General features: G+C 37.7%; 1 protein-coding gene, 1 non-coding gene and 1 pseudogene across 2 annotated transcripts in view; 2 read left to right on the forward strand and 1 right to left on the reverse strand.

Annotated features, from left to right (window-relative positions):
- Positions 1–18,748, forward strand: part of GNAI3 (G protein subunit alpha i3) — a 51,581-nt gene extending 32,833 nt beyond the window's left edge. The window contains exons 5-9 of the mRNA NM_006496.4: positions 990–1,118; positions 4,769–4,898; positions 5,282–5,435; positions 10,596–10,808; positions 10,898–18,748. Of these exons, the coding sequence (NP_006487.1) occupies positions 990–1,118; positions 4,769–4,898; positions 5,282–5,435; positions 10,596–10,786 (604 nt within the window). The 3' untranslated portion in view covers positions 10,787–10,808; positions 10,898–18,748. The remainder of the gene's footprint in view (positions 1–989; positions 1,119–4,768; positions 4,899–5,281; positions 5,436–10,595; positions 10,809–10,897) is intronic.
- On the reverse strand, positions 9,858–10,193 carry RNU6V (RNA, U6 small nuclear variant sequence with SNRPE pseudogene sequence; annotated as a pseudogene).
- MIR197 (microRNA 197) lies at positions 17,446–17,520 on the forward strand. The gene has a single exon (NR_029583.1). It is a non-coding gene; the product is annotated as a microRNA 197 (primary transcript).
- Positions 18,749–19,407: the final 659 nt, after the last annotated feature.

Consider the following 19,407-nt stretch of genomic DNA (forward strand, 5'->3'; position numbering starts at 1 on the left):
TTTTGGTATAGTTTGGTTTTGATATTATACAGTACACAGTTGATTTAGTATTACATTTCAGGAATTTTTCTTTAATAAGAACATTTCCTGTTCCTATTGTTTTAATTTTTTAAATTGGCCTTCACAATTTAATTCTGTAGAATTAAACCTACTTTTGTGTCCGGGCGCGGTTGCTCACGCCTGTAATCCCAGCACTTTGGGAGGCCGAGACAGACGAATCACCTGAGGTCAGGAGTTTGAGACCAGCCTGGCCAACATGGTGAAACCCCATCTCTACTAAAAATACAAAAAATTAGCTGGGCGTAGTGGCGGGCACCTGTAATCCCAGCTGTTCAGGAGGCTGAGGCAGGAGAATCATTTGAACCCAGGAGGCGGAAGTTGCAGTGAGCCGAGTTCGCACCACTGCACTGCAGCCTGGGTGACAGAGTAAGACTCTGTCTCAAAAAAACAAAACAAAACAAAACAAAACAAAAAAACCTACTTTTGTTAATATATATAGACTCTATACTTTAATTGTCCTATGTTGGATTCATATTTTTTCTTATTATTTCTTTCTTTTTTTAAGAGACGGGGGTCTCACTCTGTCACTCAGGCTGGTGTACAGTGGCACTCTGCAGCCTTGACCTCTTGGGTTCAAGTGATCCTCCTGCTTCACTCAAGGGTAGGAGGATTAGCTAGGACTACAGGCATGCACCACCATGCTTAGCTAATTTTTAAAATATTTTGTAAAGACGGGTTTCTTTATGTTGCCCAGGCTGGTCTTGAACTCCTGGCCTCAAGCGACCTTCCTGCCTTGGCCTCCCAGAGTGTTGGGATTACAGGTGTGAGCCACCATGCCTGGCTTATCATTTCTATGATACTGAAGATCTGATTCTGTTTTGCCACTTAATAACTAGTAACAGGTTTAAAATAGGAACTAATTTAGTCTGTTCATTTGCTATGCACATGGTTGGCTTCACCAAGTAAAAGTAAACGTGTCTTTTATTTAGTTATCTAAATGATCTGGATAGAATATCCCAGTCTAACTACATTCCAACTCAGCAAGATGTTCTTCGGACGAGAGTGAAGACCACAGGCATTGTAGAAACACATTTCACCTTCAAAGACCTATACTTCAAGTAAGTCATTAGCCTTTTTGCTAGGTGTGCCAAATACAAGTATCTTTCATTTTAGTTTACCATCTCTTAATCAGGGTAAAATTTCTCTGGGCAGTATTCCTTGGTTTAAACTTAACATATTTATCAGCATTGTTTGAATATTTTAACTGAATGGGGGCCCAAACATCTCTTGTTTCTCCAAATAGCGTCAAATGTTTGTGTCCTTTTAGAGGAATTTAAATTCAAAAATAAATTTAACTTGCCTCCCAGTAAAATTTTTCCTGTGATAACTGGTTTGTTTTAATTTTATTATTTTCAGCTGCTTTTTTGTTAGACTCACCAATTCAGATATTGAATGTTTAATAGGATAACAATATTAAACTTATGAAAACCAGTTTTTTTTCGGTTAGTTACATGGTTTTGTTTTGCCATTTTGATTTAAAATAGAAATGCTTTTCTCACCAGTGTCACTTCTTATTGGTTTGAATTTCCCTTCAAGTTGAATGGAATGGAGCAAGTATTGTCATGGCTCTTAAAGTAATTTGTGCATAGTGTCATGTACAATTAACTTCTTAATACAGTGCAGAATGGAAAATAGACTTGGGGATAGAGGTATTTTGGGTTGGTAAGATGACATATAAACAGTGATTTTTTTGGTTTGTTTTTAAATTTTTATTTTTTTAGAGACAGGGTCGTACTCTGTCGTCCAAGCTAGAGTGGAGTAGTGTGATCACAGCCCACTGCAACCTTGACCTCCTGGGCTCAAGTGATCCTTCTGCCTCAGCCTTCCAAGTAGCTGGGACTATAGGCTCATGCCACTGTGCCTGGCTAATGTTTTAAAAAAATTTTATGTAGAGACAGGATCTCTCTTTATTGCCCAGGCTGGTCTCAAACTCCTGGGCTCAGGCTATTCTCCCACCTCAGCCTCTCAAAGTGCTGGGATTGCAGGTGTGAGCCACCGTGCCCAGCCCAACTGTGATTGTTTTAGAGAGAGAAAATTCTAGTATTCTAATACAAATAACTTTCTCATTAGCATTAGTAATTCTTTTTTTTTTGAGATGGAGTCTTGCTCTGTTGCCAGGCTGGAGTGCAGTGGTGCGATCTCGGCTCGTTGCAACCTCTGCCTTCCGGGTTCAAGTGATTCTCCTGCCTCAGCCTCCTGAGTAGCTGGGAGTACAGGTGCGTTGCACCACGCCCGGCTAATTTTTTTTTTTTTTTTTGTACTTTTAGTAGAGATGGGCTTTTACCGTGTTAGCCAGGATGGTCTCTATCTCCTGACCTGGTGATCCGCCCACCTTGGCCTCCCAAAGTGCTGGGATTACAGGTGTGAGCCACCACACCCAGCAACATTAGTAATTCTAAAACAAGCCTCAGCTTGTCTCTGTGTTAATGGTCTTTTATAAATATTAGAAATGTTTATTTTGGTTCCCATTTTCTTCTTTTGTGACCTTTGAGATTAGGAGTAAACTTTTCCCCTTCAATATACCATGTGTTCTTTAGTTATGGCATTATGCTTATATGTAGAATGTGATGTTTGTTATTATTGCATACAGATGTAACTACTACCTCAAATCCTCTCAGTTCTTTCTCTGAAAACAACTGTTCCACAGGATTTGTGAAATCCACATAGGGTTTACGTATTACTAGATACCAGTTGGGGTCTTGAAATCCTAATACACCAAACTAGATTTTTTCCTGGTGCAGGAAAATAGCAGTTCAGCTATGAATGCTTTTAGAATAGACTTGCTGCTTATCTTTAGTACTGATGAATTTATTTAGCAAGAGCAGCAAAGACCACATGGATTATCACTCGTGAGACCATAAGAATGAGATTTCTTTGTATAAGGTTTGTAATCTACTTATAATTAAAAGTTGTGATCATTATTTAGTGTTGGAAACTTTCTTATTGGTGTTGTTATATAAATCAGTCTTTAGTTAGGCAAATCCTAACTGTCCTGTCTTTTTATGCCATGATCAATAGCCAGATCTAATTAAGGTGCCACACCTACTTGATTGTTGGCATGTAGATATCTTGTTATGAAGTACTATCATTTCTTCCTTTTCCTCTTCTCTCTAGGCAAAACTACTATCCATTTATTCAAACATTTATTGAGCATCTACCATATGCAAGGCATTGTGTAATTGCTTACTTGCCTCTCAGTTAATGAGGTAATGTTTATAAAATGTTGATCTCTTAGTGAATGATATTGTAAATGTTAATATGTGCTAAAAGCCCACCTTGGAACTTCACAGTGTTATACAGACTTTGTAGAAGAAAATGGGGGAGTAAATTGAAGTTACTGGTGTGTCTCCCCTTGAGACCTCCATGGTGAAATATATGATGTTAGCCTTCCTAAAACCTGTATTGTGACCCTATATTAAAGCCAACTTGTGATTACATCATTTCAGGTGTCATGACCAAAGGTCAAAAAGAATCGTGCAAGATCAACCCAAAGGAAGAGTTGGGTCATAAAGAGATAATTCCTTTCAAGCATACATTGAGAAATCACCAACTGTGTCTTATTTCTTTCAATTTCTGGGGGAAAACATCTCTGGAAATGTAGGCCTCTAGTCACTATAGATCTTATACATTAAACCAGTTTGGCAGAGTTTAGCCTTTAAAAATTGTGTCATTTTCTTCAAACACCGATCACAAGTAACAATTTGCATGTGTACATCATTAGACCTAAGTATCAGCTAAAACACAAAGCAGTGCAGATCTTTTTACTATAGGAGGTAGTTGAGGATGCTGTTGATAGAAGTTCAGCAGTTGACTCAGAATACCAAGTAAGTCACCCAGAAGACAGTATTGGACTAAAACTAATATGGAGTGTAACATAAAGTTTGTGAACAGTTGAGACTTTATTAATTAGGTTTAAGTAAGACTCGGAGTTTGGAAATATTGGTCAAGGCTGTTTTTTAGTTATTGGGTTCATAGAATCCTACCATAAAAATATAATTTATTTGTTTTTACAATTAATCTCTAATTTTTTTTTTAAGGTAAGGAAAACAAACTTAATAGGGAGAAGTTATGGAAGCAGAGTGCAAATAGGGCATTTAGAGGCAAACCATTTTGAGAGTCAGAACATGGGTGCTGGAGTTAGAGTGCCTAGGTTCAGATCCCCAGTCCCTGTTTGTTAGTAGTGTACCTTTGAGCAAATCATTTAACATTGAATGTGCCTCAATTTCTTTATCTGTATAATTGGGATAATAATAATAGTACTTCTAGGAGTGTTACAAGGGCAAAATGAGTTAAGATGTTTAGTAGTAGTGTCTGGCACCATGGTAAGCACTCAATAAATATACCATTATTATTATTATCTCAAACTGTTTTATTTAGCTCTTTGCTTTTCCTGTCTTTTCCCCTCCTTCCTTTAATCCATTTCAGTGCTTATTCTGCTGACTTTTCACACATCTGGTACAAGCTTTGATAGAGAAGAGGCTCAGCTATCTAAAATGAGAATCTAGATTATTCACAAGTTTTATTTTCTCATGTTGTTGTCTTGTACTTTTAGCCAGGATAATTATTTTGACTGCATTTAATCTATTCTTTTTCTTCTATTATAAATGAAGTTTTGAATATGTAATAGTGGGAAGTTTCCTAATCATTTCAGTTTAGGGGAAGGTGTATGTGTGACCTTGCTGAATTTGCTTTCTTTCCCCTTGCGCAGGATGTTTGATGTAGGTGGCCAAAGATCAGAACGAAAAAAGTGGATTCACTGTTTTGAGGGAGTGACAGCAATTATCTTCTGTGTGGCCCTCAGTGATTATGACCTTGTTCTGGCTGAGGACGAGGAGATGGTATGTTGGAGCTTCTGGTAAAAAGCCTGTCTAATGTAGCCAGGAAATGGAAAATAACTTATTAGGAAGATTATCTGCATCCATTTCCTCATTCAACCAAAACTTAGTATCTTTAATTTTTTTGATCTGTGCCCTATTACTCTAAAAAAGATGTTATAGCCACCTTGAGTATGTGGAAAGGATGTTAGCCAGCCCTTCCTCCTACCTCCTCTCCCCCAAAAATTACAAAAATGAGGACTGACACTCAACTTTATCTTATTGGTGTTTGACTTATTTCCGTGAATGCCATTTAGTGCTGCAAAACTTGTTGGTTTGTCTTTTTCATTAACTTAATCCACTTTTACTATTTGCTACTGACCTATCATCCTTTATTTCTTTTTCAGAACCGAATGCATGAAAGCATGAAACTGTTTGACAGCATTTGTAATAACAAATGGTTTACAGAAACTTCAATCATTCTCTTCCTTAACAAGAAAGACCTTTTTGAGGAAAAAATAAAGAGGAGTCCGTTAACTATCTGTTATCCAGAATACACAGGTAAGGGGTTATGAAAGATTTTATTGGAGGTACACATCTTACTTAGATCAACACTTTGGTGGCATTCATAAAACTGCCTTTTTTTTTTTAATGATTGATTGGGAGAGTATTCAGTGGTAGTGGCATTGGCATTAAGCCTGTGATTAAAAGCCCCTAAGTCAAGAGTGCCATATCAGACACAATTGAGTTTTCTGTGTTTATTTTAAATTTCTATCTTCATTTTTTGAGGAAAATACAAAAGGAGAAAAAGTAAATTTGGGAGCTGGGCATGGTGGCTATAATTCTAGCTACTTGGAAGCTTGAGGCAGGAGGATCATTTGAGCCCAAGAGTTTGAGATCAGTCTAGGCAACATAGTGACACCCCCCTGCCTCACAAAAAATAAAGTAAAATTTGGTATATGTTGAAGAAAATACAAGGGTAAATTTTAATCATTGTGCCCAAGAGACTGACATGTAGTTGCAGAGAGACATAAATAATTTTATTATAGTGTTTAATTGCACATAAATAATTTTATTATAGTGTAAAATATGCATTAATAGAAGTGGAATAGAAGTGGTTACTTCTGATGGGGTCACTGTAGTCTTTTTCTAGAGCTACTAAGAGGATGAAATAGAAATCATCAGGCAGACGGGAATAAAAGCATTTTAGAAAAGAGGAATTGCATATATGAGAATATGGAGGTAGGAAAATGGTATGACCAGTTGTGGAACCCAGAAGGAATTTGGTATTACTAGAGTTTACAGTGGCAGGGAAGAAGTGGTTGGAGAGATGGTCAGAGATCAACTCATGGAGGGCCTTATATCTCATGCTGAGACGATGATCAGTTAAAGGTTTAATATCCTACCATGATCCATATCATGGGGTGCATGATATAGAAGAAACTGTGCTTGAGAAAGATTATGCAATAAATAATAAAGATAGATAGTAGGGGATTTGAATTAGTAAGAACTCAGGATGGAAATAAAAACTTTTGATGGGGATTAAGGGATATATCATAGAACCCAAGGGCAAGAATGGACAGGTCTTAGAATGGAATTAGAACTAGGAAATAATTGTCAGGAACCCTGGAAGCACTCTTTATCCCCATCTTTTTTCTCTCCTCTCTGTGTATCTTTTTTATTATTCTTTCTTTCCTAACCAGCTTTCTCTGCTATTCAGTTTATGTGATAACAGCCTAGTCACAGTTTCTGTATCTCTGGTAAAAAGATCAGACTAGGCTGGGCGCGGTGGCTCACGCCTGTAATCCCAGCACTTTGGGAGGCCGAGGCGGGTGAATCATGAGGTTAGGAGATCGAGACCATCCTGGCTAACACAGTGAAACCCCGTCTCCACTAAAAATACAAAAAAAATTAGTTGGGCTTGGTGGCAGGCACCTGTAGTCCCAGCTACTCGGGAGGCTGAGGCAGGAGAATGGCATGAACCCGGGAGGCAGAGCTTGCAGTGAGCCGAGATCGCGCCACTGCACTCCAGCCTGGGCGACTGAGCAAAAAAAAAAAAAAGATCAGACTAGACTGGGATTGCTTGGCCTTGGTTTCAAATTCCAAGGAGAGAGATTCTGGCCGTGGTTAAGTCAGGCAGAAATCTGTAGGCCAATCAGTTGAGGTCAGGGGCACAAATGTAACTGCCAGGGATGGATCACTATGAAACTTATAGATCAGAATCAGGTATTTCCAGAGAAGGGGAACTCTTATTAGCAGAGACACTGTAAATGCTTTCTATAATAAAGTGAGGCTGGGTGCAGTGGCTCATGCCTGTAATCCCAGCACTTTGGGAGGCCGTGGCAGGTGGATCATGAGGTCAAGAGATCGAGACCATCCTGACCAATGTGGTGAAACCCTGTCTCTACTAAAAATAGAAAAATTAGCTGGGCATGGTGGTGTGCGCCTGTAATCCCAGCTACTCGGGAGGCTGAGGCAGGAGAATCGCTTGAACCCGGGAGGCGGAGGTTGCGGTGAGCCGAGATCGCACCACTGCACTCCAGCCTGGTGACAGAGTGAGACTCCATCAATCAATCAATCAATCAATCAATCAATAAAGTGAAGGGGTAAAGCAGGGGTAAGGAAGTGGGAAGAGTCAGAGGTACTCCCAGGTTTCTGTCTTGGATGCTGGTGCTGTGACCTGAATTCATGTATAGGAATGTTGATTTTTAATTATTCATAGAACGTTGAAATAATATCTCATGGACAGTTATATTCGAGGTTGAGGAGAGGTTGGGGTTTGAGATCATCAGTAGTGAAAACATGGAAATGGGTGAAATGACCTATGGAGATAATATTATAGAATGAGGAGAAAAAGGACCACAGGTAGAACGAGAGAGAATAGCAGCCTCTATTGGCAGGAGAGGAAGAAAGATATCATAACCAAAAGGAGAGGTTAAAAAGTGAGTTGATTAAATATTTCAGTCAACAGTGTTATCTGCAGATAAGTAAGATACATACTGAAAAAGAGCCTTTGGAGTTAACAGTTAGGAGGTCGTTGACCTGCTGTTGAGAGCAGTGTCAGTGGAAAGTTGAGTACAGTGAGTTACAGAATGGAAAGTGAAGAAAGAAGACAAGTGTAGACTACTCTTGAGCAACGTGGGTTTAAAGGGAAGGGAGAGATTTAAGAATGTTTATAGGCTGAGGGCTAAGATCCTATAAGCAAAAGAGATACATTAAAAAACAGATGTAATTGAAGGAGCAAGATTTGCAAGCAGGTGGGAAAAAAGGAATTAAGAGTCTAGGTAGGATAAATGGATAAACAAATTGTGTTATATACATACAATGAATATTACTTACCCAAGAAAAGGAATAATAATAGATGGTACAACTTGTATGAAACTCAAAACACTGTGCTAAGTAAAAGAGGCCAATACTTCTATTATATGATATATCCAAAATAGGGCAATTTCTGTCCATAGAGACAGAAAGAATATTAGTGGTTATGAGAAGTGGGAGAATGGGAAGAAAAGGGAGTGATTACTTAATGGGAATAGGGTGTTGAAAAAGTTTTGTCACTAGAGAGAGGTGGTGATTGCATAACATTGTGAATACACTAAGTGCCACAGAATTGTACACTTTAAAATGGTTAAATATCTGTTATGTTAATTTTCCTCAATAATTTTTTTAAAAGAGTATAGGTAGAGCAATTGATTTTTGAGCAAGAAGTAAGACACCTCTAAGACCAGAAGTACAAATAAGTGCAGATATGTAACATTTTGAGTGAGGTGGTAGGCCAAAAAGTTGAGATGTAGTTTAATCCTCATGGCCTCTGTTTTATCAAGGAAGTTGGAAATGTGGTTACCTGTTCAGAGTAAAGAACAGAGGGAGGTGAGAATAAGGTGAGTTTATAGAAAGCAACCAAGTTTTAGGATTGGGGGAGAGAGATGTAAGACAAGTAAAATAATTGGCATTAATGTTGAAGGCCCAGCTTAGAGTCTTCACACAAAGCAAAGAGCCTTTAATATCATTTCCATTTTCTTTGTTGTTGTTAACTTCCAAGCCTATCCTCCATTGTCTTCATTCTGTGTACAGATTCTTACGGTCCTTATTTGCCAGGTATTATTATCTGTTCCTAGCAGACAAAATTCACTTTTCACTCATCTGCCTCCTTTAATTTACAGAGGTTGTTTTCCAGATTTTAAGAACCTGCTTCAAGCACCTACAAAGCTGTTTTCCTTCAGTTCTTTAAATATTTTAATTAATATTCTTTTCCTTTCCTTTTTTTTTTTTGAGACAGTGTCTTGCTCTGTCTCCCAGACAGAAATGCAGTGGCATGATCTCGGCTCACTGCAACCTCCACCTCCCAGATTCAAGTGCTTCTTGTGCCTCAGCTCTACTACAGGTGCCCACCACCAGGCCTAGCTAATGATTTTTTGATTTTTAGTAGAGATGTGGTTTCACTAAGTTAGCCAGGCTGGTGTTGAACTCCTGACCTCAAGCGATCCACCTGCTGCGGCCCCCAAAGTGCAGGGATTACAGATGTGAGCCACCGCACCCAGCTCCTTTTTTCTTAAGCTCCGTTTTGTTACCTGGTCTTCTTTATATCTTTGTTATTGATATTTTTGTTATGCTTCACGTTACTGAAAATAGCCTGTAGTTTATTGGAATAATGAATTGTCTTTGTTGCGTTTCCCTGGCTTTATAGCCAGTTTCTAAGGCTACTCTAAAGGTTCTATAAGTAGACAAGATGGTGTAAAAAGCAGGTGATTTAAGGGTATTAATTACAAATATTGTTGAGACAGGCTTTGCTTTTGGTTCCTGTCACCTTTCTTTTTGTAAAAAATAATAGCTTCATTGAGATATAATTGGGAAACCCTAAAATTCACTCTTTTAAAGTGTATTGCTTTTCCTTATTTAAATTATTACCTTAAGGCTTTGAAGCTAAACCTCTTTAAAACTGTGGAATGATTTTGAAAAGAACAATTTACCTTGTTGAATTCCTTTTTTTTTTGTTTTAATACAAACAATCCCATAGCGTTTATTGCCATCTTTTAGTAACATAAGGGTAATCAAAACACTATGAATGAATGTTCATATTGGAAAAAGGACATCTAAAAGCAAACTGTATCCTTCTCAACAATTTCTCACTTCATTGATCCTTTCTAGTTGGAGACACTTTGTAGCAGAGTAATATTATCTCCTTTTAGCATGATCCGACCCAGTTGTTTTAAAAAATATGGAACGCTTCACGAATTTGCGTGTCATCCTTGCGCGGGGACTGTGCTAATCTTCTCTGTATTGTTCCAATTTTAGTACATGTGCTACCAAAGCAAGCACTACCCTGTTGAATTTTTATTCCAAGATCACTCCAAGGAACACAGCCTCTCTCAGACCTTTTAAGCAGTTGTGTTCCCTAGAAATGCACCTTCCTACTTTCCTAGTTTCCTTTTATACTTTCTAGATTTTTTTAGCTGAAAAGTCTAAATGAAAAGGTAAAGAGAAATTTAACGTTATGTTTTCCTCAATCTTTGTGTTTGATGATTTTATTTTGTTACCATGAGAGTCCACTCTCACGAAGAACCTAATTATAGAAACACCTAATGATTATAGAAATAGAGAATTCTACTCATATTTAATTGGGTTATGTTCCCTCTCCATAAGTAAATGGTAATGGTCTGACTTAGTTGAGTTCAGGCAGCTGTTACAATTTGAACTGAGAGTACTGGGTGTCCGTTTTAGGTTCCAATACATATGAAGAGGCAGCTGCCTATATTCAATGCCAGTTTGAAGATCTGAACAGAAGAAAAGATACCAAGGAGATCTATACTCACTTCACCTGTGCCACAGACACGAAGAATGTGCAGTTTGTTTTTGATGCTGTTACAGATGTCATCATTAAAAACAACTTAAAGGAATGTGGACTTTATTGAGAAGCATGGATGTTAGTGAAAGGTAAAGTTTCATACAAGGTAGTTATAGTGCTACAGTGATGTCTCTTGGTTTTTAAACTTTTTCTAATTAAGAATATTCTTCTCTTCTAGTTACTACAGTGTGGAGTGTTGAGACCAGACACCTTTTGCTGTCTCATGGGGCAGCTACAAGCATGAACGGGACCAGGGAATGGCAGCAGCATGCAGAATCTTAGCACTCTTTAGCACAATATTTTGTATTAGGGAACTTTTAATTGACATGAGATGCTAAAGTCAGACATTGGAATTGGAAGAACTATAAAGTGTGATTCGATCGTCAAGACATCACTTGGATTTCTTAATCTTAAATGCTTATGGAAGATGTGAAGTTGAGGTGCTGCATTCTAGAACTTCAATATGTAGCTTACTCTTTTTTTCCCCCCTTCTTAAACCACCAGTGGTTCATTTTTAAGGTTTTTTCATCAAGAGAAGAATAACTTTACTAAATTTTATTTCTTTATTTGCAAAAGAATCTTTATTAAAACAAACAATCTTAACTATGCACATGATGTGACCAGATCATCTTGAAAATATTCCTCTTTAGTAGGAACTCTTTGTTTTTAACTCTTGGTATGGTCAGAATATAATACTTCCATAATTACTTATAATTCTTTCCGGTTACTGGGGCTATAAATACAACTTTTTAAATGAAATTTATGTTATTATCCTGCTCAAAGTACCATTATGGTTTCCATATGGTAATTACATTGGAAAGTTCTGCAATAAGATTCTAGTTCTCTCTTTTCTTTAAGCTTATGGTTGAAGGTTAACCTTGTTTGTGCAGATTACCAAATTACTGCTGATGTAGTATGATAAAGTCAGCTTCTTGGATACAGACACACCCAGGGCAGCTGCCAATCAGAAATGCAAATTGCTAAATTCCAAACAGAACCAGTGACTTTGCTGCTACATATTTACTAAATTGACCACTTTGATTCTTGCTTGTTTGTCTCAGTTATAGGGAGTTTTGTACATGGTGCCTCTTGTTTTCCATCTTCATGGCCTTTTCTGTTGAGAAACATCTAAAGTGTATTAACAGTGCATGCTTTTACTTTGTAAATGTGGTGCCAAATCCCTGTTTGCCATCGTTTTTACTGTACCGATGTTAACTGTAGTAATCCTTAGCCAGTATGTTCTTTTGCTGAAACTGTTGCATTTTGGGACTTTTTTCCACTTTGTCATGTGTACATTTTTAATCTGTTATAGTTGGCGGCAGTATTAAAATGGTGAGTAAAGAGCCCAGGTTTGCTCCTGTTTGTAACTAGTCTTTTCTGGAAATACTGTCTTCTGTTTCCTTTTGCCTTTGCAGAATGTGCTTTAGCCTTTGTCTGAGAATGGGTTTAGGTAGAAGGGTTTCCTGAAAGTCTAGTCTTTTGGTGTAATAGTATTGTTGAACCTTAGGTTTTATGTTATATCTGCATATGAGTGATATGTGATCATGATTCATTTTGCAGATTTACATTTTGCTTGTGTGGAAAGTTACGTTCACTTCAACCTACAGACCCTTTTGTATAATGTACAGCAAATGTCATTAAATATTGAATGCTCTATTGGGGGAAGACAAATGAAGAGAATGCATTTTGAGCATTTCAAATCAGTAGTTTGGGCAGTGCCTTTTGGGGTCCAATCTTTTTGGATTGGATTCTATTTCATCTTTTGATGTGACTTTTCACTAGTTTACAAAAAAAAGGTTGGTGGTCAACAAAAAAAGCAAGTCATAGCAGTTCAGTGCCTTTGTTGGTAGTTTTTAACTTTTTTTGTGATTCTTTTTGGAAAATCATAGCTTACAGATGGTATAACTGTATTATATAATGGAATTTTCTTTAGGTGTGGGAAAACTTGATCTGAAAGAAAATTATCAGCTTCAATTGGCGATTGATTCAGTGCCCACAATGTAAACAGGGTTGGTAGTTGTTACTCATTTTGAATATACCTTTTCCTTATTGTATTCTGTAATATAGGATCCTGGAAATGAGACCTGGTGGAATATTATTTTCAACTGTAGTCTTTCTATACTGTGGACTAATGAAATGGTGTTGTTGATAATCTAAAATAACCAATAATCCAAAAAAGTTCATTTTACTTTGAATTTGTATTTTCATTTGAATATCTATCTGATATGTTAAATTTTTAGCCCTTCTGTTAAAGAAAAATAGCAGGTCCCCATTTTTCTGCCTCTGTACCATTTACATTTGCTCTCTGTTTGTTAACATGAAGATCACTCTTATTTCACCATCCCAAATAACTTATCTAAATGCACATTCCTTGAGGACACAGGGAGACAATTTAAGTCAGTAGTTTTTAATATGACTTAAGTAAAAATCACTTGGACCCATCTAAGGGATTGACTTTTGGCTGGTGGGCTGGCAATCGATTTTTTTTTTTTTTTTTTTTTTTTGAGACGGAGTCTCGCTCTGTCGCCCAGGCTGGAGTGCAGTGGCGCGATCTCGGCTTATTGCAAGCTCTGCCTCCCGGGTTCATGCTATTCTCCTGCTGGGACTACCAGGTTCCTGCCACCACGCCCAGCTAATTTTTTTGTATGTCTTAGTAGAGACGGGGTTTAACCGTGTTAGCCAGGATGGTCTTGATCCCCTGACCTCGTGATCTGCCTGCCTCAGCCTCCCAAAGTGCTGGGATTACAGGCGTGAGCCACCGCACCTGGCTGGCAATTTATAATTTTTAAAAGGTGATTCTGATTACCAGCCAGGCTTGCAAATCACTGGTTTGTATTGAAATAAAAGATATTTTCTTGTAGCAGGGCTAAAATGTGGGATGAAACATTAAATCTACTAGCCTGAAAAAAAACTTTGGCATTTGTAATCAAAGAAGCTGAAAGTTGCCTTGTGTGTTTCCTCTGAAGAATGCTGGAGATTTGTGATGGATAATGTTTCAGAATTCAGGTGCCTATGCTTTGGACCATCAAAGAAGCCATTAGTCTCTGTGTAAAGAAGAAGTATTCTTAATGGACAGTCCCCCCTAACCTTATAAATTCAGCTTTGCAACAGATTTCACCTCCTAGCATGAAAATTCCAAAAACTTTAACAATTACTCATAAGTGGATCTTGAGATGACATTTTCATCTTGGACAGTTTGAATTCTAAATCTCTAGTTCACAGTGAATCGTTTTTTAAATTTTTACTGATGGATCGTTATTTTTCACAAGGTACTACATTCTTACAATGTAAGACTAGATGGACCAAAATTTTAAAAAAAACTTCTTGCCTTGTTTTTTTAATTTTCATATATATTCTATTTGTTGTATATACACATTAGACTATTTTAAAATAACAGCTGGTTTTTGTAATTCATTCATTCACCCTATATTCTTATATTCTGCTCATTATTCTCTCATTTATAGCTGTGACATTCTTTGGACATTACTTGCCTGGCCTGATTAGTTACTTAATATAATTTATTCATTTGCTTAGCATGTGTGACATAGTTCTGGAATTTCCTGTTGCAGAACTCCTTGCTGTATTGCAGTCATATATAAGGTAAAGTCAGTCTCTTGTTCCTATTAAAAAGCTACCATTGATTATTTTCCCTTTTTACATGTTCAAAAAAAAAAAAATAAGCAACCCTCTACTCATTTGTATAAACCTAAAACGTCACTGTTTTCCTTGAGCGTTAGTACTTGTGGGTTCTTTCCTTTTCATGTGTAATACTGATTTTAAGAGCAATGATCTTAGTTTGCCAGTGCCAGGTAATTATTGTGTTCTACTTTAGGCTTCGTAGTGCAAATCAGGGATCTGACCTGGATCAGCCTCAGCTCTTTACATAGCTTTATGATCATCATATTTTGTTGTATTGCTCCCAACAAGCACAAGAGAAAAAGGCAGGCTTCCTAGAGACCTCAAGTTGAAAGTTGATTTTGCTGACAACTATCAGGGAGTAAAAGAAAGCCTTTTTCAGGCACTGGAGAACTAACTTTAATGATGATCAAGGTCTTTATGCCTTTATCTTTTAGTTTTTAAGATCATTTCTCTCCCTCCTTTCCCCCCAGTTTTCTCAACATTTATGAGTTAGTTCTGCTGAGAACAACATACTTCAGAACATGTCAGGATAGGGCAGTTTTTTCTTGTTTTTCTTTTTTCTTTTTTTGAGACAGTCTTGCTCTGTTGCCCAGGCTGGAGTACAGTGGCACGATCTCTGCTCACTGCAACCTTTGCCTCTTAGGTTCAAGCGATTCTTGTGCCTCAGCCTCCCAAGTAGCTGTGATTACAGGCATGTGCCACCACATCTGGCTAACTTTTGTATTTCTAGTAGAGACAGGGTTTCACCATGTTAGCCAGGCTGGTCTCAAACTCCTGACCTCAAGTGATTTGCCTGCCTTGGCCTCCCAAAGTGCTGAGATTACAGATGTGAACCACTCCACCCACTCAGGGCAGTTTTTTTTCTGATACCATATCAGGCCTAGGCCTGGGCTGACTCAAATCTTCTCAGGAATAAGAGGTAAGAAGGAATGTTAAACAGCAGTAGTTACCTGGGGTACATGGTTAATTTGATTTAGCAGATTCTTTGGCTAAACCCTAGTAAATTAAAATGTCTGAGCCAGGTCATGGGAATATACATGTTTTTAATACATTCCTTAGGTGATTTTGATGTAGCCAATCTGGGCCAACATTTGGGGACAACTGAGTAGGACCTAATACAGGTTGAATAGCCCTTATCCAAATCTCTTGGGACCAGAAGTGTTTGAGAGTTCAGATTTTTGTGAGGTTTTGAAATATTTGCATTATATACTTATTGGTTCGGGATTCCAAATCCAAAAATCTGAAATCCAAAATGCCCCAGTGTGTGCTTCCTTTGAGTGTTATGTTGTTACCCAAAAAGCTTTTGATTTTGGAGCATTTTAGATTTTGGATTTTCAGATTTGAAATGCTCAATCTATATTAAAGATCAACACAGGCTGAGCACAGTGGCTCATGTCTGTAATCCCAGCACTTTGGGAGGCCGAGGTAAGCAGATCACTTGAGGTCAGGAGTTTGAGACCAGCTTGGCCAACATGGTGAAACCCCGTCTTTACTAAAAATACAAAAATTAGCCAGGCATGGTGGTGGATGCCTGTAATCCTAGCTACTCGGGAGGCTGAGGCAGGAGAATCGCTTGAACCTGGGAGGCAGAGGTTGCAGTGAGCCGAGATCGCACCACTGAATTCCAGCCTGGGCGACAGAGTGAGTCTGTTTTTTTTTTGTTTTTTTTTAAAGTCAACACAAATATTGAAAATAAGCAACTTCAGTGCACAAATAAGCTCAAAATCACTAGTGAGTGATCTATTTTTTGCCAATAAGAAGTACCATTTGTACATGACTTAAAGTGCCTTCCACCAAGAAAATTATTGAAAACTGTTGGGTCACATAACATTCCTACACTTTGGATACAGAGTATTTAGTTTTATACAAAATTAAGACAACAAGAAACCTAGGATGTCCAAACATTCATTTCATTTATTTTACTGCATTTATTTATGCAGTGAAAATTGAAAGATACACCAAATTAAAGATAAAACCCTGTGACAGATAACAGTATATGTAATAACATGAATATTTATTTACACTTGGTAGAGAAAGCAAAGCTAGCTAGCTCTAAACTAGAATGAAAGTCGTTTTGAAATGGGTACGGGGGTATATAAGGGGAATGATTGAGTCACATGTAAAAGCCTTTGTATGCCCAGTGCTAGTGTTTTCCTGAAATCTAGTGAGAATCACAAGGTACCAGAAATAATCAAATAATAAATATTAATACACTGCTGGGATAGAAGTATCTCAGTGTACCAGCATTCACTAAGCTATAAAATCTGTGACAGCAGGAATATTAAATTATGAACAACCTGGTTTATCTGTCTCCTCTTATCTTTTACCTCTCCCTACGCCCAAAATTCTCCTTAGGTTATCCAGACATTTTTACTAAGATGCTTATTTATATGTAAGAGAGATTTCCAGTAGATACAACAAAACACAAGAAATCACCTGTTCTGTTTATTCTTGCTCATGTAGGATAAAGGTCCTGAGACCTCTCAGAATCTTACGAGGTTGGAGAGTTGTTTGGAATGCTGGGTTCTGGTCTTGTCTCTGCTTCCAACCAGCTATGGAATCTTGTGTATTCTTTCAGTCTTAAATCACTCATCTGTTATCTAAAGATGGACTAAATTATTCCTTCCTGCTGTGATATTCTGTGGTTCTCATCAGATAGAAATAACATATTTGAAAATGCTTTGTAAATGTTATGATACTCAGGATTATACTGCACAGAAAAAAAAAAATCCTAAGGCAGCACCAACAAAGGTATTCAACGTAGTGGGTGGTCTTTTACAGCATTACTTTGCCCATATTCATTTTGAAGACCTGAAATGAAGTTGAACTATAAATTGCTCTAAAATTCGTGAAGCAGGGTGAAAAGGTCTTTGCTTTGTTTTACATTTAAATCCAGCTGTCTATTTTCTGCTTATACTAGTGCTTTTTCATGGCAAAAAGACAGAAAAGTTCCCTTCTGCAGTCTCCAGTGTCTTCTGACCTCACAGAAATGTTTTCATGCTTTTACCTAGCAGGACCACCAGAGGCTCTGTCACACTTGCAGTCCCTGGCCCAACACCGAAATCCTTCTGGAATCTGTGCTCTGGGGGCTGTGCCGGGTAGAGAGGGCAGTGGGAGGTAAGAGCTCTTCACCCTTCACCACCTTCTCCACCCAGCATGGCCGGCACACTTTGGTCTACGGCACATCTCCAAGTATAGAGTGGGTTTTGAATGCTGTTATGTCTCACCGTGGGGATGGGAAGGAATACTCTGTTTTGGACTATTTGGAGGTACATGTGAGTGGATTTTATTACCAGAGTAGGAACTGTTTCAAGTTAATGTGTCTTTTATGTTGCTTTTAAGACAACTTTTGTGCCGCTTTTATCCATTCTTCCTTTTATCCACAGAAATACAAATTTCTAATTATAGTATATTTTTTCTATTTTTAAAATTGTGATAAAGCATATATAACAAAATTTGCCATCTTAAGTGTACAGTTCAGTGGCATTAAGTACATTCACACTGTTGCACAGCCATCACCACCATCCATTTCCAGAACTTGTTTTCATCTTCCTGAACTGAAACTCTGTACCTGTTAAACAGTAACTCCCCATGCCCCACCTTCTTTCAGCCCCTGGTAACCAGCATTTTCCTTTGTCTCTATGAATTTGACTATTTTAGATACCTCATATAAGTGGAATCATAGTATTTGTCCTTTTGTGTCAATCATATTGTATTTTTGTCTAAAAAAGGAAAACTATCAGATTTATGTGAAATGTAACGTAATTTACATTTGATTTACTGTTAGTAATGTCTCTTTAATCATGCTATGCTAGGGAAGTACATTATGGTCTCTCCCTCTAAGAATATGAAGAGGAAATTTTACCTTCAACAAACAAGCAAACTTAGTTATATTTTTGTGATTTTATGCTGTTTTCATATTCTATTTTGAGATCTATTTGTCTTAGCTTGGAGGTGGTTTTGTTAAATGTCCACGATTTAGAGACGGCATAATGAAAAAATGACCAAGAATTTGGTTGGGAATGGGAGGAGCTTAGAAGAACAAGAAATTGGCTTTGATTTTATAGTGTATGGTGCTCTGTTGGTAGCTGGACATCATCACAGGCTTTGGATTGAGAAGACCTGTTCTGGAGTTCTAGTTCTGCTACTGCCTAGCGTTGTGATCTTGATGAAGATACTCTTCCTTCCTGGGCTTCAGTTTTTGATCTATAAATTGCTAGTGATGGGGCTGGACTATTTTTAAGTTTGTTCTAACTTTAGCAGTCTTAAGAATTAAGGTTGCATGCCAGAAAATAGGGTTAAATATTTGTTTCTGATCTGGTTACAAAAAAAAAAAAAACTTGATGGCTTAAAGTAAATAAAAATTCAACAGTACGGTGTAAATTTAAAATGAGGCAAAAGAAAGATAATGACTTAATTTTTATTTTAATCTTTCTTATAGCTGTTTTATATAAGAACTTTTCATGAATACAATCAAAATGTCCATGAGATAAAAATAAGCTAATTGTGCAGGAAAAGTACAAATGCACTTTTTCTGCAGCTCTAACATGTAAGGTTTGGGAACAATCGTTGGGCCTGACAAACAGTTGAGCTAGGGTAAGGGTGAATGCCTTTTCTGGAAGCCTATCAAGAGCATCGAGGTGAAGTCCTCTTACCTTTAATCATGGGAGAGCCCATTCTGGACCAAGGGTTTGAGAAAATTATTCTGACTGTGTTCTAAGGTAATAGGTGAATGGGTGCTCAAGGGCCCCTGTTGCATTTCATGTAGACTTGCCAGAAGAGTTTTAGCTTGAAAACATCATAAGATGAATATAGGCAGATCCCAAACTCAGTAAAAAAACAGCTATAGAATGTTGCTCTATCCTCCAAGATGAACACTTTACATAATGTTTGTACAAGGTGGCTTGTGTGAGTTTGTTGATAAACCAGTTAAAAGTTGGGATATCCCCCAGCTATCCCAAAAGAAGAGGACTAAATACAACCATGTTTTAGTCTGCTAGAGACTTGTGTTCTGACCTAAGACCTGTCAGAAGACCTGTCCCACTGGCT

The sequence above is a fragment of the Homo sapiens genome, chromosome 1 (genome assembly GCF_000001405.40).
Source record: "Homo sapiens chromosome 1, GRCh38.p14 Primary Assembly".
Lineage (NCBI taxonomy): Eukaryota > Metazoa > Chordata > Mammalia > Primates > Hominidae > Homo > Homo sapiens.